We start from the raw sequence: 23,012 nt of genomic DNA on the forward strand, positions 1-23,012 counted from the left end.
TACTCAATATGGAAGCCTTCCAGGGAGAAAGTGGTTATCTCAATCAAGAAGTGCCCCGACAGGCCAGGTGTGGTGGCTCACATCTATAATCCCAGCACTTTGGGAGGCCAAGGCTGGTGGATCACCTGAGGTTGGGAGTTGGAGACTAGCCTGGCCAACATGGTGAAACTTCATCCCCACTAAAAATACAAAAAAAATTAGCCGGGTGTTGTGGTGCACACCTGTAGCCCCAGCTACTCAGCAGGCTGAAGCAGGAGAATCACTTGAACCAGGGAGGTGGAGGTTGCAGTGAGCCAAGATCATGCCATTGCACTCCAGCCTGGGCAACAGAGCGAGACTCTGTCTCAAAAAAAAAAGTTGCCCTGACAAAAACAGGTTAGCTGTGTAAAAATTCTAATCTTTTATTTAAAGGTTTAAAAAAAAAAAAAAAAGCATCGGCTACTCAGGAGGCTGAGATGGGAGGATCCCTTGAGGCCAGGCGTTTCAGAAGAGTCTGGGCAACAAAGTGAGACCCTGTTTCAAATTTAAGACAAAACACAACAAAGAAGTAGCAGAAAGAAACAAGGAGACATGAGTACATGCAATACACTTTCTCCTTTTCACTCAAGGATTTTGCTGTCCCAGTAAATGTGACAGTGCTTTGTACATACAACTTTGAAAGAATAGGTGCATGAGGCAATAATGTGCCTCCATCTCTCCATGAAAATCCTGAGTTCTCCTCAAAAGCTCAGAAATTCCCATGCCAGCGTCTTCACAACCACCATTTCCATGTGATTAAAATAAACAGCCACCTTTTCTGAAAAATGGATAACTTTGCAATATGTTCATGGAAAAGCTCAATGCTGTTCTTACAAATACTACTCAAGGAAGTTTTGTTTGGAAGAATTTGAATAAAATGTCCCACGAGAGGGTTCTGCAAATGAGGCACAAACCTAAAAACACAGCTAGTCTCTGTCACCTAAATGAGCTGCTGTGGCCTGGCTCATCTGGTAGCACCATGACTCGCAGTTCCTGCAAACCTCCCAGGGTGCAAAGCCATGACAGATGGTCACACTACTGAAAGGGGAATACCTACAACCACAACCAAAGGGAGAAGTCCACAGAAGTCCACAACCAAAGGGAGAAGTATGACACCTTGGAAACGTAAACAGCATCCCCTAATCAAGGGCTGCAAAGTCAAACGTCTACAGGGACAAGGAAGGTAATATAAATAACTACGTACAACATCTGCTGGGTATTATGCAAGAGGGGATGGATGGTGCTGGCTGCAGCTGCAGAGGGTGTGCCACACCTGAAGCATAAAAATTATTATTTAAACTCTGGGCTGATAAAAACCTGCCCAAATCCGTGGGGGGCGGGGGTGAGTTTACAGCCTGAAGCACTTAGCACCCTAACCAGCAGACAGGATGTGCTCATTAAAAGATGCCATTATAAGCAGGAAGCCTTGTGAGTCCACAAGAGAAAAAAAGGCCTGTGAAATGTTTGCTTTGAGATCCGCAGAAAGAGATAAACAGTACCAAAGAAATGGGAGGAAAGGGCTTGGTGCGATGGCTCACACCTGTAATCCCAACACTTTGGGAGACAAGGCAGGAGAATTGATTGAGGCCAGGAGTCTGAGACCAGCCTGGGCAAGCTAAGACCCCCATCTCTACAAATAAAATAAAGTAACTTTAAAAATAAAATAAAATAAAATGGCCCAGCATAGTGGCTTGCACCAGTAATCCTAACTACTCAGAGACTGAGGCAGGGGGGATCACTTAAGCCCCAGAGTTATAGGCTGCAGTGAGCAATGATGAGACCACTGCATCCCTGCCTGGGCAACAGAGTAAGACCTTGGAGGAGACGGGAGATGGGGAGGAGAGAGGGGAGGGGAAGGGAGAAACAGAGAGAGAGAAAGGAAAAAAAGAGAAAAGAAAGGAAAAGAAAAGAAAACATAATTAAATAAAATCAGAAAGTAGGAGATAGCACATGTAGATTTGTAAGAACCAACACCGGATAGCCCATTAACCCCCATAGATACATTGGCTCTGGTGGGGAAAAGCACCATGCCAATTCAAGCAAATGTGAAATGAAGCCCTTCATTCATGTGTATCCACTCACTCATTCTTTCCCTCACTTACGCAACAGCTAGTCACTGGAAGCTTCTCGCATGCCAGGCACCCCTGGCTCTGGCCTGAGGACATGGTGTTAGACCAACACAGGACTCTTCCAGAGCTTACTGTGTCCAGCACTGACCAGCAGAATTTTCTTGATGATGGATGTATTTTAGATCTGCTTTGCCCTATATGATTGCTACATGTGTCTACTGAGCATTTGAAATATGACTATGGCAACTGAGGGACTGGGTGGGAGGAGTATTTTATTATGTTTAATTTTAACTAACTTATATTTCGATTTAAATAGTCACATATGGCTAATGGCTACCATAGTGGATAGTAAAGGTCTAGGTAGGGTGTCCAGGCATCGCCCTCGGGTTGGGGAGAAGAAAAAGCAAAAGGGAATAGAAGACTCCAGAAGAGTAGAATGCAGGTTTTACCTCCCTGTATACTCATAACTTTCTCTATACCAATCAAATGCACAGCTTATCCATTCCTGCCTCCCACAACCCTGTAACATACCCTCCCAGATGGCAGAAGTTAAAAATGAATGGCAGATGGTGACACTCAATGTCCTACTCAATAAAGTGTGACCAGAGCAAGACTCGATGAACTCAGGTATCTGATCCAATTTGACCCAAACTGCAATGCTGCCCAATGCTGTGTTCTTTCCTCACAGCCCTGCCTGGAGAAGGTCATCGGGTGACACAGATGCTGCATGACTATAGAAAACAATGATTCTAAGACAACACGCCAGGCTTTCCTCCCCTCCATTCTGACATATCTCAGATGAACAAGTAAGGACATCATCACGTGCTACACCTCAATGTCAATGGCACTTTTTCAAGAGGTCAGTGTGTCCCCTCCATACTGATGCCTGGGACACTGAAGTTGGGAGCTGATGGTCTTAACCCTCTCTGCAAAACTACAACGGTCTCTTGGCTCCAGCCAGCCGCACAAACTAACAGGACCTTGCCTCTCCATGGGAGTTTCTGGGCATGCTCAAGTTCATGAGACGCCTAACGGAAGGGGAACTCAAATCGCCCATGGATCCAGACTTCCTTTTCTCTTAATCCAGTGACATATTAGAAACTGTCAACTAACCTACCAGAAACACAGGAATCACATGAAAACCAATACACCCTGACGGCCCTGTTTACTTGACAGGAGTTGGCCAGCTCCAACAGAGGTAATGGGGCTTATTGGGGCTCATGGCCACTGCACACGCACAGGCTACACCTGGCAGAAAGGCAGCCCTTCTTTCTCAATAGCAGTTGGCCTTTGTTCTTAAGGTCAGTTGCCAGAGTCATGGTCAGAAGCATTTAGAACAGGAAACAGAGCTAATCTTTACAAGGACTGGCAAGTAGTTTCCTGGAGAAAAGAAACATGAGAGAGTACAGCACAAAAATCTAGTACTGGTTCAGATTTTATGAACCATCAAAACACAGAAATGCTACCAAGTAATGCTGCAGAGATGTCCTATTCTTCACATTTGAAGAAGTTAAAAATTGATAAACTTTTGTTCATTATCACCCTATGATTGTTTGCAAATCAGAAGACTTTCTTAGCTATTCTCTAATTTACAACTGCTAATCTTTGCATTACTCCAGCCAGGGCAGCTATCATCAGCCCCAAATCACACAGAAGAAAACAAGAGCAGAGGGTCCTGCTGGGTCACACGGTTCAGGGTCCAGAGCTAATCGCTCAGGCTGCCTTGGTAGAGATATTTGCCATACCATATCGTAGAAAGCTGGTCAGCAAAGCTGTGATTTTTAGCTCTTCCAAGTATATTGCCCCTTGGAAGACCTTATAAAGGTTTATAAACTTTAGATGCTGTCTTTGGTGAAATTTTTAAAACTGCTATGTACTAGGAAGCTAGTCAGGTGGTGCTGTAGTCTGCCACCCACATAGATGGGACAGACACAGAAGGGCCTGCTTTACCTGTGTGACATTCGTTTCGTGGGGACACAGTGAAAACATCCCTTAGACATTTAAAAAGAGGTAGGAAGGCAAGAAGGGGGGGAACAAATGGGTCTAATCACACAACATTTAGGTGATTAGGCAGGGATTCATGAAAACCTAGTGTTTTAAATAGTATTCATTCTAGCCTGGTATGGTGCTTGTGCCTATAGTCCCAGCTATTCCAGAGGCTGAGGTGGGAGGATTGCTTGAGCCCAGGAGGTTGAGGCTGCAGTGAGCCAACATTGTGCCACTGCACTCCAGCCTGGGTGACAGAGAGACACATTGTCTCAAAAACAAACAAACAAACAAAAATAATATTAATTCTAAAATGATGTTAACAAATATAATATTTTAATAATGGCCTAAGCATAAATGCCATCCTTAGCATCAAACAAAACTCATGACCAGCAGAACTTTCCAGAAGACTTCTGCTCCATGTTGACATAATATGGTAAGTTGACAAAGAACTCACTGCTCCATGTTGACATAATACGAAGTGATGTTGTGATTTATAAACATAATGATTAGGAAAAGGAGCTCAGCCTACCATCTATGACACAAGCCAGTTGTGGAGACAACACATCAATGGGTCTCTGCTGCATTCAACTAATTTTTTCATCTTATAGATCTGTGACTCTGATTGGCTGGGTAATGCTATTAATAAATTGGTAAAAGATAAGAACCAAGATTTTCAAAGTTCAAATAAAGAATAACTAAATAATTGCTTCTTCCCAGAAGGAAATGAAGATTCTTTTCCTTTTAAATCTGTTGTACTCTTTATCTCATCACAGGATCTAATTATGAATATCTATCTTTGGAGAAGAGGAAAGGAGGAGGAAGATAGCCTTGTGACCAGAAATCTTTGCTTTTTAAAACCACCAATGACCTGGTCTAATTATCTCTGCAAAAAACTCATCTGTGATGACATGGGGTGAAACCACAGTGCAATTTTCAAGAAACATTTTATGCAAATATATCTGCTCCAACTGCATATAAATTAAAATAGTAATAAATCAAATCCTATTTTCTGATTGGCTTGTATTATTATTTCAGTTAATTCCTCTTCCTTTCTGAATGAGCTAACACCACGTTTCTCTGTATCCACCATAAGTATAATTGGAGCTGTCAAACTTAAAGAGCAAGAAAGGGAGGGATGAGAAGAAGGAATCATGTACACGTTGGCCTGCTGTGTGCCAGATATTGTGCTATGTGCTTTAAAAATGCTAAAACTGGCTAGGCATGGTGGCTTACGCTTGTAATCCCAGCACTGTGGGAGGCTGAGGTGTGCAGATCACTTGCGGTCAGGAGTTCGAGACCCGCTTGGCCAACATGGTGAAATCCTGTCTCTACTAAAAATACAAAAACTAGCTGGGCATGGTGGCGCATGCCTGTAATCCCAGCTACTCAGGTGGCTGAGGTGGAAGAATCACTTGAACCCAGGAGGTACCTGGGTGACAAAGTGAGACTCCGTCTACAAAAAAAAAAGAGCTAAACTTTATGGGAGGCCATTGTTTTAGCTAAGCACCTGCATTAGACCCCTACAAATCAGAAAAAACTGAAACTCCATTTAGCATGGAGTCACTCATGCTAAATGCCACATAAGCAACTTAAAACTTTAAGGAAGCAGGGCTGGGCATGGTGGCTCATGCCTGTAATCCCAGCGCTTTAGGAAGCTGAGGTGGGTGGATCACCTGAGGCCAGGAGTTTGAGACCAGCCTGGCCAATGCAGTGAAACCCCGCCTCTATTAAAAATACAAAAAATACAAAAATTAGCCAGGTGAGGTGGCACTACTCAGGAGGCTGAGGCAGGAGAATCACTCGAACCTGGGAGGCAGAGGTTGCAGTGAGCTGAGATCATGCCACTGCACGCCAGCCTGGGTGACAGAGCAAGACTCCATCTCAAAAAAACAAAAAAAAAAAACTTTAAGGAAGCAGATAGATCCCCCAAACAGACCAGGTTTTCTTGAAAACAGGAGATTCCAGTCTACCTGAGTCAGCAAAATAAGTAGGTCCCCTCTGCTTTAACCCTTACCAAAAAGTAACCTATGCTAACCAATCAGGTGTTTTTTTGTTTGTTTTTGTTTTTGTTTTTTTTTTTTTGAGACACAATTTTGCTATTGTTGCCCAGGGCAATGGCGCGATCTCGGCTCACTGCAACCTCTGCCTCCGGGGTTCAAGCGATTCTCCTGCCTCAGCCTCCCGAGTAGCTGGGATTACAGGCACGCACCACCATGCCTGGCTAATTTTGTATTTTTTAGTAGAGACAGGGTTTCTTCATGTTGGTCAGACTGGTGTCGAACTCCCCACCTCAGGTGATCCACCTGCCTAGGCCTCCCAAAGTGTTGGGATTACAGGTGTCAGCCACCGCATCCAGCCTAATCAGGTATTTTTTCTATTCTTCTATTTCCCCATTCCCACCTAACAAAACTCACTGTTCTACTACTGCCCAGAGGGAGCCCTTATTCTATTTCGAAGGAGGCTGCTCAGATTTATGAATCGCAAATAAAAGCCAATTAGATCTATAACTAAGTTTACTGTAATTTTGTCTTTTGACAAATATGTGATTGTATTTAATCCTTATATCAGAACTGCAGACAAGGGTATTGACAGAGCCATCTTTACAGATAGAGACACGGAGGCAGAGTTGATCAGGGGCATGTCAGAAGCCACCGATCCGGGCAGCCCGCGCGTTCCCCTCCCTCCGCACCGATTAAAAAGAGGAACAGGTCCTCGGAGTGTGCTGCAGGGATCTCTAACAGGAGCCATGGGGATCTGCCATGGTAATGGCATGCTCAGCCAGGTGCCAGAGAAAGGTCCCCTAGGATGGTGTCAAGAGTCTGTCCTCCCCGTGGCAGCCAGTGCTGCTGAACAGATTCCATGGGGGAGAAAGGCAGGATGCGTGCGGTAGGTTCACGGTGAGGAATATTCCCTCTTCCATTTCCCCAGCTTCTCTGAGAAGGCAGATTGTCCTTCAGAGATTTCAGCCAGGTCCAACACGACAAATACATTTGTCAAGCCATTTCAAAGTAACAAACAATAATCATTATTTTACCCATTACTTCTAGGGTAACATAGAGAATTCGAATTCAAATTCAAATTCAAATACCATTTCAAAGTAACAAACAATAATCATTATTTTACCCATTACTTCTAGGGTAACAGAGAATTCAAATAAGAAGGGCATAGGTTGTTCTTTAAGGAAGGTTCTTATTTTCAGCAGCATCTCCATGGATGTGAGAGGGACAGCCAAAGCACAGCCACAACGCGGCCTTTGATCATGGGGCCAGGGACACACTCAAAAGGATGAGTGACAGAAAGCAAGCCCCCCTCGCTCTAGTTTTCCAGCTGCAGGGAGGCAAGGAGCCGTATTCCTTAACAGAAGTCACAAAGTGGAAACGTGGAGGCTGAAGAAGGCTGTTGCAAATATTTGACGTGCCAACAAAATGTTTGTTTGATTTTTAATTAAGTTTTGAATTTCTTATACCAGGTGAGTACTCTCTGGTCCAGTCACCACCCCACCCAAAGTTTCTGACCCTCTCAGCCAGGCCAGTGTCACTCTTGAGTTACCCTCTTGACTCTAAAGACTTGGAGTTTGCAATCCCTGTTTTATATAGTCATGGGGAGAAAAGAACTAAACCCCTTATCTGCAGAAAAAGTATTACCCCTCTTACTAACACCTCTTGTATATAAACCACTGAAACTGGGTATGTTAGTACTGTAATAGGGAAAATAGACTCCAGAAGAGATTATTATAAATAAAGATGGGTAACAGTGCAGCATGAACAGAGAAGAGGGAAATCCATCTCTGTCCAAGGAGGCAATGAAAAGTTTCAGAGTGAGGAGCCACTTGACCTCAGTCATAATGGTGAGTGGGAGCTTGCAGAGGGAAGGGGCGCCGTGAAAAAAAAGACACTCGTACAATGAAGAGCAGAGTGACTCAATGGCTGAATCACAGGGACTGGGCCTTCATTGTCCCGTCTAAAATGTGGATCTAACTTTTCTTGAAAAACCAACACAGAGCAGCCAACAAAAACCCTTATAAAGCAACTTGTTGAGATATTAGCAGGCATGTGCAGTCCACAGTGCTAAATCACGTCACGCATCATAAGATGGCAGATCTGGAACAACCGGTAAGACCTCTTGCACAAAAAGTCACAAAGACCATGCCCTGTCTCTCTAATTGGCACCACCAGGCTCCCAGAACTGACATCTTATTTATCTTCAATTCTTCTCTTTGCACTATGTCTAATGAGGCTCTGTCCACCTCATGTAAGACATGGTTCTTTTGTTTACCTTCTCTTCTTTATGAATACCCAGAAAGGTAACATTGCCTAGCAAGAGGCATTCATTAGAGGTTAAGAGCTCACGCGCTGGACTAAGACTAGCCAGGGTCTGAAAATCCTGGTTCTTCTCTCAGCAAGCTACCCCATAAGCTCAGTTTTTTCTTCTATAAAATGGGGAAAGAGCAGTACCTATTCTCATATGGTTGATGTGTATTAAGTATTTAACAGCACCTGCCACAGAGTTCATACTCAATAAATGTTAGACTTCATTAATCTAATTACTCATGCCTTCCCCATGAGCCCTCTTCCCTTTCTGTCTCTGTGTTTCTCTCCTCTAGATCATTCTCAACACCAGCATCATCACAATTAATTTGCCATAAACAGCAGCACAGCAGGATCTACCACTCTGTTCCTCTTCACCCTGCATCACACACCTAGTTTCTATTCCACAGCCTCACATGTAACGTGGTGGGACCATGTAACTGGGTTCTATAGCTAACAGAAATGTGAACTCAAGTGACATGAGACCATTTCAGGCTTGGCTTATAAAAAACTTCATGACAGTCCATGTTCTCTCCTCTTCCACCAGCTCATCACAAGTGTGCATAGTGGCATGGAAACCACATGCTGCAGATGGCAGAGCCACAAAATGCAGAGCCTAGAGCCCTGAATCACCACTTAGAAGAGAGTCACCTGCTAATTAGAAACACCTCTTTTGGAAATTTTGTGAAGAAAGTATAGATTTCTCACAGATTAAGTCACAGAGGTTCTGGAGTTTCTCTGTTATGGCAGCTAACATTACCTTTCTCCATTCTTAAACATTTGGTATGTTCCCACTATCTACAGAATGAAACCTGACCTCCCTAGCATGGCATTCAAGGTCTCCCCTAATCCAGGCCCAGCTACTCTCCAAGCCCCTTTCTCACCATGAAGCCAGTAATGTACCTAGTACTTTCCATAAGTACCAGGCATTAATAAACCTTCCCAATCCTCAAAATCTTTGCTCTCAGAGTTCCTTCTATCAGAAAGGACCAAATTCCTTAATAGTTGACAAAATTCGGATCAATCTTCAAGGAACAGTTCAAATACCATCTCCTCTGAGGAGCTCATGTGATACTGGTTACCATGTCTTCTGGCTACCAGAATAGACAGAACAGACTATGCTCACTCCTTTACTACAAGACTATTACTTATGATATATAGCCAAGTGTCTCTCTGTGTTTTCACACTACTGAGGACTTCTGGAGAGAGAGGCTAAGAGCCTTTCAATTTCATATTCTTAATCCTTAACACACTAGCTGGAATGAGTAGGAACTTGGTATGTTGTATAGGGTAAATTTAAAATCATAAAGAAATAAGGGCACATTCCACGTATCATTAAGTAGTATGCCCAGAAATGACTACTTGGCCTCAAATATCATAAAAGTGAGACCACTTCCTTGATGTAAGTTCTTTGCAGGTCAATTACCTTTGTTGACAGCCCTGGTTGAGATATACAAATGTGGGTCACTGGACATAAGAAAGACAAATGAGAACGTTGGCAAATTCAGACAGATCCACTCTACTGCTAGACTAAGAGTTCAAAGCCTCTAATCCATCCATCAAAATGGATAAAATAGATGAAAAATCAGCAATAATCTAAACGCAACCCAAAATGACTTGATACATAAATTATGGCATATCCATAAATTAAATATTATACATCTATAAAAATCGACATAGTCCCCTCTTTTCCTACCCCAATTCTACCTCCACATGCTAGTCTTCAGATTCTAGCTGAAGTGTCATTTCCTTAGAAACTGGTCCCCTCTGTTAGGCACTCCCAGAGTAACTTTCCCTCAGAGCTCCTTCACATTGATTTGGTATAATTAATTGATTATTGTCTTGCTCTCTAACTACTACTAAATAAATGAGAGTGGAAAGAATATTTCTCTTTTTTATTTGTAAATAGGGTGAGTGAATGAATAAACATTCAACAGAATATGAAACAAAATGAAAAAAACGTAAACCAAAAAAAATAAGGTTATATAATAGCATGTATAGCATGATCCTATTTTGTAAAAAGGTTATACCCATCTGTCAACCTAAATACATACACAGACACACACAGACATAGAGAAACGTATAAATAAATAACCTGTATAACCTAAATTTTGGAAGATTCTTCACCAAAAGCTCAACACTGGATTTTTCTAGCCAAGGTTGAAAGGATCTATGTGGAGTGATCATGACCTCATTCAGGCTCTTCTTTCTCCCTGGTACAGGCCAGGGTTAATTTCCTACTAAGTGATGGATGAAATAGCTTTCCTAAACATGTGGAGGAAGTGGCCTGCTTTCTTGCTTTGCTCACCAACTACAAAAATGGCAGCTGTGATGGGGAAGCCTGGACTGTCAAGGCCACCCGTCAGCGAGACGGCAGACTCCATGTCACGTGCCACACAGCTACACTGGCCACATCCAGCCCTGCACAGCTGCATAGCAGAATCAGGAAAAACAGTACTTTTCATTCTGGTTTCCCAGATTGAACCAGGTTACTACAGAGAGGAGAAGGTGAAGAATGGAGTGGGGAACAAGACTCTGCCTCCGTAACTCTGCCACCTGCCTCCAGGCTGTGGGAGGAACACCAGGTGGCTCTTCATGGCCATTCGACAGAAATATTAGACTAATATGGAAGTCCTGCCTACTCAACCTGCCACTGTCCAAATCTAAACTACAGTCACAAAATGAAGATTCTACTGAGGCTACAAATATTGGGAAAATCAATATTTTTAAAGGCTGGCAGGGATAAAGAAAGATATGCAAATGGTCATCATTATCAAAATGATAAGACACTAAGCAGCACTCCTCTTCAATACTGTAGATATACACACCTGTAATTATGCCATCCACACACCTACGTACATACAGAGAGGGTTGATATAACACTCGGATAGACACTAAGCAGCACTCCTCTTCAATATTGTAGATATGTACATCTGTAACTATGCCATACACACAACTACATAGACACACCTACAGAGAGGGTCTATATAACATACGATAATGTTTACTAAAAAACCAGAAGGAAACCAAGTCAGCATAAACTCACATTCTCTGCCCTTTGATGGTATAATTTTCTCCTAGATTTTTACCAAATAAATAGTCTAGGATGTGAGCCAATATAAAAAATCAGAAAAATCCTAAACGGCACCTGTTAAACTTCAAAAAAAAAGCACTGACCACGTGCAGTGGCTCACACCTGTAATCCCAGCACTTAGGGAGGACGAGGCAATCGCTTGAGCTGAAGAGATCAAGACCTGCCTAGGCAACATGGTGAGACATCATCTCTACAAACAATACAAAAATTAGCCAGGCGTGGTGGCACACACCTGTACTCCCAGCTACTTGGGAGACTGAGATGGGAGGATCACTTGAGCCTGGAGGCAGAGGTTGCACTGAGCCAAGATCACACCACTGCAATCCAGGCCTGGGTGACAGAGTGAGATCCTGTCTCAAAAAATAAAAATAAAAAATAAGCACTTTGCAAGTGTTTTTTTGTTTTGTTTTGTTTTGTTTGCGATGGAGTTTCACTCTTGTTGCCCAGGCTGGAGTGCAATGGCGCAATCTCGGCTCACTGCAACCTCCACCTCCCAGGTTCAAACGATTCTCCTGCCTCAGCCTCCAGAGTACCTGGGATCACCGGCATTCGCCACTACACCCAGCTAATTCTGTATTTTTAGTAGAGACACGGTTTCACCATGTTGGCCAGGCTGGTCTCGAACTCCTGACCTCAGGTGATCCACCCACCTCAGCCTCCCAAAGTGCTGGGATTACAGGCATGAGCCACCATGCCAGGCCATACTTTGCAAGCTTTTAAAACCACAATGGCAGCAGCTGACATGGAATGATGTTCATAACATATGACTGAGAGAAAAATAGGTTTCAAAACATTATGCACTGTTTTGATTCAATTTTTGTAATGTAAACATATAATTTACAATTATTAAGTAAACATGCAATATATAAATACATTAAATATATAAATATAAAACATGTAAATTATATAAAATATATACTACGTATAAAGAATAACTGTGGCTGGGGGAATTGTTGGTATTTGCTGTTTTCAATTTTTTTCTTTTTTTTTTAACAGACAGAGTCTTGTTTTGTTGCTCCAGTTGGAGTACAGTGGTGTGATCATGGCTCACTGCATCCTCAACCTCCTGGGCTCAAGCGGTCCTCCCACCTCAACCTCCTGAGTGCCTACTTCTTTTTTTTTTTTTTTAATGCAATGTGCATTTAAGAGGGGAAAAAAAGCAGTAACAGAAAAAGGAAACACTAAAAGAAAAAGGAAAAGAAAATCCTAGGCTGGGATTCAGAAAAGCAGGTTGATCTAAGATCTCAGTAGGCCTTGAACGACTATTCATAATCCCTCCCACCCAACCGCTACCTGCTCCCACCAGCACAGAAAGACCAGGCAATGACAGACTAACCTGTATAACCTGAACTTTGGAACAAAAGAACTAAAGAGATGCAGCATCTCATTTATATATATACATAGGGCTGACATATGAATTCCACTGTGGGTACTGCCTACTAAACCTTTCTTACATTCTCTGTCACCTCCCCTCATCCCAGAGGTCTAAACTTCTGTCTTCTAAGTTTGATTGTTTCCTAAGGCACTGCCATGTTCATCAAATCAGCTAGGAAAAAAGAACAAACAAACAAACATAACTTGTGGTCCCTTACCAAGAGCAAAAGAAGTCAGCTACTCGGTGTAAACAGGGAAGAAGGGAGGCATCACACAAGAGTGGATGGTGGAGACTGTGGTCAATCAGCTGGACTGCTGCTGGCTGTCCCGGACAGGATGTGAACTCAGCAACATCCACCTAGCTTCAGATCTTTTTAAAGAGAAGCTGAAGACCTAGATGTCTGGGAAATCTCTCTATTTTTCAAGGGTCCATGAGCATGCCCTTGGGGTGAGTTGCTTAGTTTCCTGATCTGGAAATTGGAGACCATTAAGAACATGTCTCTCACAAGGTTGTTGTGAAGTTTCAATGAGTTAATCTATCCAGAATACCTAGAAAGTTACCAGGCCCAGAGTAAGCATTTGGCACTCATCATCTTCCAACCACCAGCATCCACTGGCCACCAGTTTGCAACCCCTGGGCTGCTACTACCTGAGGGCCAGGGGGTCCCTGAGGGACGAAGATATGCTATCGTCATTTGTCCAATTCCTGGCACGCTGTTGGCAGCAGCATTTTCTGAACACATCAATCAACTGTAGAACAATTCCTAAAAAGTTAAGCTCCACAACGCTTTTCTGGCATCATCAACCCAGTTCCCCTAACTTCAAAGGGTGTGAGTGGGAGGCCAGGCATGGTGGCTCACGCCTGTAATCCTAGCACTGTGGGCGGCCGAAGTGAAAAGACTGCTTGAACCTAGGAGTTCGAGACTAGCCTAGGCAACATATGGAGACCCTGATTCTACCAAATAATTAAAAATTAGCCAGGTATAGTGGCCCACGCCTAAAGTCCCAGTTACTGTGGGGGCGAGAGGAGGTGGTGGTGCTGAGGTGGGAGAATTACATGAGCCTAGAAGTGCAAGGCTGCAGTGAGCCATGATCTCACCACTGCACTCCAGCCTTAGCAACAGAGCGAGACCCTGAATCAAAAAAGGGGTGGGAGTGGGGGTATGAGTGGGCTGTACAACAAGCACAGTAAGACAGCTCCACACCCTAGCCCCCAAGAAGCCCTGCCATTTACTGTGCTTTCTGAATTCCACTCTGCACTGGAGACTCAGGGTCCAGGAGTCTGAGGAGGCGTCAGGTCTGAGGAGGATGGGAACAGATGGCAGTCCCAAAAGTGCCTCCTTGTAACCACTGATCTATCAGGAATCCATAAGCTGCTCCTCCCTGCCCTGTCATTTGCTTACAAGTCTGCCTGCTGAGAAAAATCCCCATGAATTCTTAGGGTCCATATGCTGTTCTGGAAAGTTGGCCCTGTTTCAGGTAGAGAAAGAAAGACGCTCCAGTGCTTTCCTACCACAGCCTCTCCTCTGGCCTAGGTTCCAGTTACCTTTAAGAAACTAACTGTTATCACAGCCACCTTGCCAGTGAGGTTTACCTTGAGGCAAAACCTCAAATGATCCTGCAAACTGAGGATGGATGACAGTGATCACCACTGCACAGTAAATACTCAACATGTGTGAGACCCCAAACTAAATGCTCTCAGCAATCCTTACATCAACCTTTGGGCTAAGTATGAATATTCCCATTTCACAGAGGAGGAAAACAAATCTCAAAGACGTGACACAACACACCAAATGTTGACGGGTAGAGCGCAGATTCAAAATGCTGTTTGACTCTGAACAGAGGGCCTGTCATGAATTCACCACATAACCTTCTAGACAGACTCCCTGCACCCTGGAAAAATGCCTTAGTGTCTCATTGTATCAGTTATGGGGTATCACAAATGCACTCAGCATATATCTTTGGGAGAATGCTTACCCACATCCAGTCTTTCCTGCTCTTAATGCCAATGGAAATCTGTCGGCATTATTCCCTTGAGCACCTAATTATATGTTGGGAGCTAACTAATCTCCCTCAAAAAACCACAGGCCATTACAGGGCAAGGGTGACAAGAACCATTCCTACATGACCCAGCTCAGCAAAGACTTGTTAAATGAGTTCTTAAACAATTGTAGCTAGATTCTAAGACAAACTAGCTTTTTTCAATACTTTGCATATTTTTCTGAATTCTTGACTTCTCGACAAAGTCCACCCTGATCACCCCATGTAATACTACCACCTGCTACCTGCCTGGACATTTTCAACCCTCTGACCCTGCCCTACTTTTTCCTTTGCCCATAGCCCCTATCAACTTCTAACATACCTCATAATTACTGCCGGGCGCGGTGGCTCACGCTTGTAATCCCAGCACTTTGGGAGGCCGAGGCGGGCGGATCACGAGGTCAGGAGATCGAGACCACGGCGAAACCCTGTCTCTACTAAAAATACAAAAAATTAGCAGGGCGTGGTGGCAGGCGCCTGTAGTCCCAGCTACTCGGAGAGGCAGAGGCAGGAGAATGGCGTGAACCCAGGAGGCGGAGCTTGCAGTGAGCCGAGATCGCGCCACTGCACTCCAGCCTGGGTGACAGAGCGAGACTCCGTCTCAAAAAAAAAAAAAAAACAACAACTAATTGATTATGTTTATAATGTGTCATCTATCCTACCCTACCTGCCATCCCCACTAGAATGTACAGATCCCAAAGGCAAGACTGGTTTTTTGTTGTTGTTGTTGTTGTTGTTGTTGTTGTTGTTGTTGTTGTTGTTGTTTGAGACAGAGTCTTGCTCTCTCACCCAGGTTGGAGTGCAGTGGCGTGATCTCCACTCACTGCAAGCTCCACCCCCCAGGTTCACACCATTCTCCTGCCTCAGCCTCCCGAGTAGCTGGGACTACAGGCACCCGCCACCACACCCGGCTAATTTTTTGTATTTTTAGTAGAGACAGGGTTTCACTGTGTTAGCCAGGATGGTCTCGATCTCCTGACTTTGTGATCCGCCCACCTCGGCCTCCCAAAGTGCTGGAATTACAGGAGTGAGCCACCGCGCCCAGCCAAGACTGTTTTTTAACTGATGTATTCCAAGGGCCTACAACAGAGCATGGCACATAGTAGGTACTCCATAAATATTTCTAATCCAACTGAAATGAAATGAGGATCCTGGCCGCTTGGTGTCTCACATTCCTCACCTGCAATTAAGCGGTTGTAGTGCTGCTTATTTCATGAGAATGAGAAGGCAAGAGACACATGTGCAGCACGTGGCCCAGTGCTGGCACGCAGTAAGCGTTCAGTGCATCTCTCCTATTCTTTACCCTAGAAATCGAAATCTGCATTGCATTCTGTACCTGGCTTCATAGCTCAGGCCATTGATTACTACCCTCAAGTTGTTTCTGAATCTGGGAGAGCCATTCTTCATTAAATGCATTTCCTCTTAGAAAGAGCGATTTGTTCTACACGGATGCTGAGCATTTATTTCTATCATAGACAGGAGCCTATAATGTTGACAAATGTGCGTAATGATCAGTAAACAAACACAGGAAGGGCAGGGACTGAACTTAATTTAATAGGCTGCCTGAGCACTGAGATACTTTTTTTTTTTTTAATTCCCAGGATCCAACGTCAATTCAATACTGGAAGCCTGGGCCTCCAACAACCCTTCAGTTTCATTCATTAAGTGAAAGAGAAAGACTGTCCAAATGATAGGGAAAGCCTGTGTAGCAATGAGCTATTCACATTCTGATCTCCCCATGCACCCTGATCTCTTCTCTAGGACCTAGAGGGCAAGGGTGTGTCTTAATGCATCTTTCTATCTATCCCCTGGCCCCGGCTCCATGAATGGACCAAGGCAGTGACTCACTAAAATGAGAAAGAGAGCAGGGAAGGAGGGGAAGAAGACAGGGAGGCAGAAAGGAAGACAGTAAGAGAGTCAAATCAAGTAGAGAAGGAGGGAGGGAGAGGAGAAGGGAAGGAAGACAGAGAAAGACAGGAGAGAGGCAGGGTGGGGGGGGTAGGAAAGAGGGTAGAGAAGAAGGAAAACTAGGACTGTTCATAGTGGGATTTTACCATTTTAGTGAAAAAAAAAAAAAAGAAAGAATGAAAAGGAAATGAAGAAAGACTAAGACTTTTATATGTTCCTACAAGTGTGAAAAGATATTCAGGCCGGGCATGGTGGCTCATGCCTGTAATCCCAGCACTTTGGGAGGCCAAGGTGGGAGGATCACTTGAGCCCAGGAGTTCAAGTCCACCCTGGGCAATAAATTGAGATGAGACTCCATCTCATACACATATAAATATAAGTACAAAATTTTTTTTTGAGACACAGTCTCACTCCGTCATCTAGGGCAGAGTGTAGTAGTGCGATCACAGTTCACTGCAACCTCTGCCTCCCGGATTCAATTGATCCTTCCACCTCAGCCTCCTGAGAAGCTGGAACTACAGGCACACACCACCACGCCCAGCTAATTTTGTATTTTTTCTAGAGATGGTGTCTCACTATGTTGCCCAAACTGGTCTTGAACCCTGGACTCAAGCAAACCACCCTCCTCCACCTCCCAAAGTGCTGGGATTACAGACATGAGCCCCCATGCCCAGCCTAATAGTTATATTTTTAAAACAAAAAATATATATATTCAACCAGGTAACACTGAATGCCTCAAGGTGGGAGTGAGGGAGAGTTGAAACTGGGGTTGGGGGTTGTGGGAGAGAAGAATGCATGCACTCTTTCTTCATGCACCTGTGTAATTAATGTTTGACTTGCTCCAGGATTGGGACAGCGTGACTGCAGCACAGCCAGCCAGCTGAAAGCACAACACTGAGAAAAGCAAATTTGGGAATTGCTGAAGGGGAAAGAGAGGAAAATAACTGTGGAATTCTGGGTGCTTCCCAGGAGGCCAGTATTACAGCTTAGAGGCCAAAGCAGTCAGCAGTCAAGAGCTGGCATGAGGCCAGTACAGCTGGAAACACAGCAGGTGGAGTGAGGTGGAGGGAAGGAACACGCAGGCTCAGGGATCCGGCTTAGGAAAAATCAGGCTGGGGGACTTAAAGTAAGGTGAGCAGGAATCATAACTACTTAGGTTTACCTCTGTGCAAAGTTTTCTACTGAATGCTGGGACAGAAACTCAAAACCTTGCCCTTCAGATAAGGCTAAATATTACAAAAAGAAAATTTCCAACTTTCCTTTCTCCCTAACCCCACGCAGTCATTGTCCCTTATTGGAGCAGCCCAGAAAGCCCTGGATGAATCACTGGCTGCTATTCTATTCTGCCTGGGTCGGTAACAGTTCTCCACCTGTTCCTGTCTATAAGCAAAGACATTCTCTTTGTCTGCCTCCCAGTCTTCTGCAGTCAATACACTGGTGTCAACTTATCAGAGTTCTCGCTCTACTAACCAGTTGTGTAACCTGGGGACTGACCCTCTCAGACTTCCAAATTCCTAACTGGGAAAACTGGGAAAATTAACAGAACATAGCTCATGGGGTTGTTGTAAAGATCAAATTAAATAATTACATTAGCACAATGACTAGCAATGGAAAGCCCTTGGTAAATGTGAGCTGTTACTTTTAGGCAATGCTTCATATACTGCTCACAGTCCCTATAATATAGGTGCTTGTTAGAGTTGACTTAAGTTTTCTAACATTAAGTAGCTAGTAAATGGCAGAGCTAGAATTTGAATCCATATTAAAAATTTATGTACCCAACTAATAATTATTTTGTCTCCAACTCTTCCTCTCCACTGTCTTCCCTTTCTTTAATACATATTAGCCTGTCCCCTTCTCCATTCTACCTTCATCAATTTCTCTTTCTCTTTCCTGTCCCTAACCTGCACACACTGGAGGCCACAAACACACACTCTAAGCATAAAGCTGAGTGTGAGATTAAAACAGAAGAGGATACAAATCAGAACCTATTGGCAGTGTCTTCTAAAGCCAAACAAATGAAAGAAAGGAGTGTTTATGTCTACCAAAACACTCAGACAATAAATAGAGCAGCTTTATTGAAAATAGCCCCAAACTACAAGCTACCCAGATGCATATGAATAGAAAAATAAATATTTTATTGTATGTACATGCAAGTGAATATTATACAACCAATAAAAATGAACTACTGACACACACAACACAAGGGTCATGTCTCCCAAACATACTGGACAAATTAAGCCAGACATAAAAGAGTACATACCATAGTTTTTATTTATTTGAAGTTCATGAGCAGGCAAAACAAATATATGGTAATAGAAGAACCGGAACAGTGCTGACCTCTTTAAGAGGAGAGCACTGAGTGGGAAATAGCACAAGGAGTCTCCCAGGGTACTTATGATGTTCCATATATTAATCTGGTGATGGTTACACAGTAATACCTCAATTAAAAGGTCACGAAGTTGCACTTAATATTAACACACTTTATGTATTCCAGACTTCAATTCTAAAAAAAGAACAAAGGTAATAAAAATAATCAGAATCCATTTCACTGCAGAAGTTTCCAAGGTTCTGGGGCAGCGGCCAAGATGGCGAGCTTTGGTGCTGTCCGTGGGTAAAGTGCTGATTTGTCTCTTGGCTGAGACCTCAGATAACCTCATGTATGAGAAGGAGAAGGAGTAGATCAGGACACATCCAGTGACGTCACAGCCAAGTACATCTGCTGCTCTCTGGACCCACGGCAAGCTCTCAGGCCTGCAGAGGTTTGCAGCAAAATCTACAGCAAAGCTCGTCCACAGCTGAGCTGCTTGTGCTTACTCTACATAGTGTTCCTGTGATAACCCTCAAAGTTAATTCCTACTGCTTATTTTCTGGCACATCTGATGCTTTTTACTTGGTACATTATGGCACTTTGGTTCTCTATCTTCTCCTTATCTGAGCAAGGGCTTCATGCCTCTAAGATGTTTATTCCCTCTGATCACAAAGGTTTCAGACAAAGGGGGACTGCTGAAATCCACTCATTTGGTTATCAGGCACGTTATTGCATTATTACATTATTACACTTTGTGGGAGAGAAGGACAGCATGTGTAGAGACTGGACAGTAACAGTGTGTCAAGACCTCTGCATATTTGATTTCAACACAGGTGCCAAGAAAATTTAACAGAAAAAGAATCGCCTTTTCAACAAATGGTGCTGGGAAAACTTCACATCCACATGCAAAAGAATGAAGTTGGGACCCTTTCCTATGCAATACACAAAAAAAATGGACCATATACCTAAATGTAAAACCTAAAACTATGAAACTCTTAGAAGATATAAAAGTAAATCTTCAAAACCCTGGGTCAGGTGAAGCCTATTTAAATATAAACCAAAACCACAAACAAAAGAAAAAAAATAGATAAAAGTTTTGTGCTGCAAATGATACCATCAAGAAAGTGAAGATGCAGGCTAGGTGTAGCAGCTCACGCCTGTAGTCCCAGTACTTTGGGAACCCAAGGCAGACAGATAGCTTGAGCCCAAGCATTCGATATTAGCCTGGGCAACACAGCAAGACCCCATCTCTACAAAAAATACAAAAATTAGCCAGGTGTGGTGGCATGTACCTGTAGTCCAAACTACTCAGAAGGCTGGGGTGGGAAGATCATTTGGACCCAGGAGGTGGTGGTTGTAGTGAGCCGAAATCTCACCACTGGACTCCAGCTTGGGAGGTAAACTCTGTCTCAAAAAAATTTGTTTAAAAAGCCTCTGTCTCAAAAAATTTTTTAAGAACGTGTAGATGACCCACAGAATGAGAGAACATACTTAAAATCACACATCTGATAAAGGACTTGTATCCACAACATATAAAGAACTGTTACTCAATAATAAAAGACATATAACACTATTTTTAAATGGGCAAACCATCTTAACAGACATTTTTCCACAAGATGATGTACAAAAGACCAAATAAACACATTAAGAGATGGGCAACATCATTAGCCATCAGGGATATACAAATGAAAAACACAATGAGATCGACTTCATACACCTTTGATTGGTGTACAAAGACAGGCAAGTGCTGGTGACGACGTGAAGAAACTGGATCCTTCATACACTGCTGGTGTGAATGTAAAATGGTGCAGCTGCTTTAGGAAGCAGTCTGGCAGTTACTAAAAACTTAAAGAGTTTCCATTTGAACCAGCAATTCCATTCCCAGGTATGTACCCAAGAGAAATGAAAACATATGTTCACACAAAAACCTGTACATGAATATCCATAGCAGTATTACTCACCATAGCCAAAAACTAGGAACAACCCAAATGTCCTTCAACTGATGAATGGGGAAAAAAATATGTATCTATAGAATGGAACATTATTTAGCCATTAAAAGGAATGAAAAGCCAGGTGTGGTAGCTCACGTCTGTAATCCCAGCACTCTAGGAGGCTGAGGCAGGAGGATCACTTGCAGCCAGGAGTCTGTGACCAGCCTGGACAACACAGCAATACCTTGTCTCTACAAAAAACAAATAAACAAACAATGGAATAAAGAATTGACACATGCTACTATGTAAATAATACTGAAAATACTATGCTAAGAAGCCAGTCACAAAAGACCTCACACAGCAGTTCACATTTATATGAAATATAAATAGCCAAATCCAAAAAGACAGAAAACAGATTTGTAGCTGCCTAGAACTTGGGGGTAGGGGAGTGATACAGAAAAGGTAAAGGGTTTGTTGTTGAGATGATGAAAATGTTAAGTTAGACTTCAGAGATGGCTGCACAATTCTCTGAATATATTTAAAGTATTTAGTTGTAAACTTTAAATGAGTGATTTGTATGGTATTTGAATTATATCTTAATAAAGCTGTTATGTATTTCAGAAAAGAAAGGAATCAGGAAAAAGGAGAATAAATGACTACGAAATTTACAAAATGTTTTTTACAAAACCCTTAAGGCTACTGAGGTTGCATGAGGAAATGGAAAAAACACATGACTATGACCAATGTCAGAGGTGCACAGATCTATTTGTAGCTCTGCCTCTCCATATCGATCAGCCCCATGACCTTGGTAAAGACACTTATCTCCTCCAGGCCTCTCTGAAAATGAAGGACTACAATAGGTCATACTGTAGTTCCCTTCCAGCCCTACTATATCCTCATTCTTAAAGATGCATTACAGTTTAGTGACCACAGCCTAACATAATAATGAAGAAGAAGATAAAGGAATAATAACAGCTAGTACTGACTGAGCTCTTACTTCACGCCACTGCTGTTCCTGTCTCAGCTCGTTAAATTTTCACAACACCTCCCTGAGACCGCTGTTATCCTCATTGCACAGATGAGGAACTGTGGCTGAGAGGGGATGAGAGTTGTGGAATCAACATAGAAACCAACCAGTCCACATTAAAGCAAGTGGACAGAAAACAGTAAGAGGGAGGAAACCAAGCATTCGTTTTTTAAGGGACTGATGGATTCTTTAATAGGTTTAGCTATGCTGTGAGGGTTTTTCAGTTCTGCTGTGAGGGTTTTTCAGTTTTGCTGGAGAGTTTAGGGAAGAATTAGAGATGAGGATGAAGAAAATTAAGCAAAAAAAAAAAAAGCAAAGCATTTTATTCACGTCATAAAAAAGCAATACAGCTGGGTACAGTGGCACATGTCTGTGGTCCCAGCTACTCAGGAGGCTGATGCAAGAGGATCACTTGGGCCCAGGAGTTCAATGCTACAGTGTGCTACGATCACGCCTGTGAACAGCCACTGCACTCCAGCCTGGGCAATATGGTAAGAATCCATCTCCTAACCCACTCACCACCCCCCCCAAAAAAGGCAATATAATTATAGTGTCCTATGTGGCTCAGCTGAGAAATGCTGATGTACTGATACTACTATGTAGTTAGGAATAAGGTAGACGGGAAAAAAGTGTGGGTTTTACGGAGTAAAACAAAATTAAATCCTCAACTTCTTTACCAGGGATAACAGAAAATAACAATAGATAATACCTAAAATTGAAATCACAATAAATATAAATATGAACATATCATTTCTAAATATAGAGGGAAATGCCAGAAGGAACAGCTTACAGAGTTAAAGGTGGTGCCCTCTGTGATGTCACACTGAAGAATGGGCAGCAGTGATATTAAAGATTAATGTTTTTGTGATAAATCTTAAAGTACTTTTGAATTTCTTAAGATTATCTGCATGTATCATGCTTTTTTTTTTTTTTTTGAGACAGAGTCT

The 23,012-nt window shown here is 43.0% G+C and overlaps 1 protein-coding gene and 1 long non-coding RNA gene across 7 annotated transcripts in view, besides 1 other annotated feature; both read right to left on the reverse strand.

Moving 5' to 3' along the window:
- The window catches only part of MAGI1 (membrane associated guanylate kinase, WW and PDZ domain containing 1), a 685,393-nt gene that overhangs the window by 500,236 nt on the left and 162,145 nt on the right, over window positions 1-23,012 (reverse strand). The window lies entirely within an intron of this gene.
- Window positions 14,887-15,388: an enhancer, noted in NCBI's record as "H3K4me1 hESC enhancer chr3:65854323-65854824 (GRCh37/hg19 assembly coordinates)". NCBI's record gives its function as "activates a minimal SCP1, AML or CMV promoter by ChIP-STARR-seq in naive H9 embryonic stem cells {active_cell/tissue: H9 hESC(naive)}" and the evidence as "EXISTENCE:reporter gene assay evidence [ECO:0000049][PMID:30033119]".
- Window positions 19,053-23,012, reverse strand: part of MAGI1-IT1 (MAGI1 intronic transcript 1) — an 81,745-nt gene continuing 77,785 nt past the window's right edge. The window contains exon 3 of the long non-coding RNA NR_145422.1: window positions 19,053-21,289. This is a non-coding gene — a long non-coding RNA (MAGI1 intronic transcript 1). The remainder of the gene's footprint in view (window positions 21,290-23,012) is intronic.

Source organism: Homo sapiens, chromosome 3, assembly GCF_000001405.40.
Source record: "Homo sapiens chromosome 3, GRCh38.p14 Primary Assembly".
NCBI lineage: Eukaryota > Metazoa > Chordata > Mammalia > Primates > Hominidae > Homo > Homo sapiens.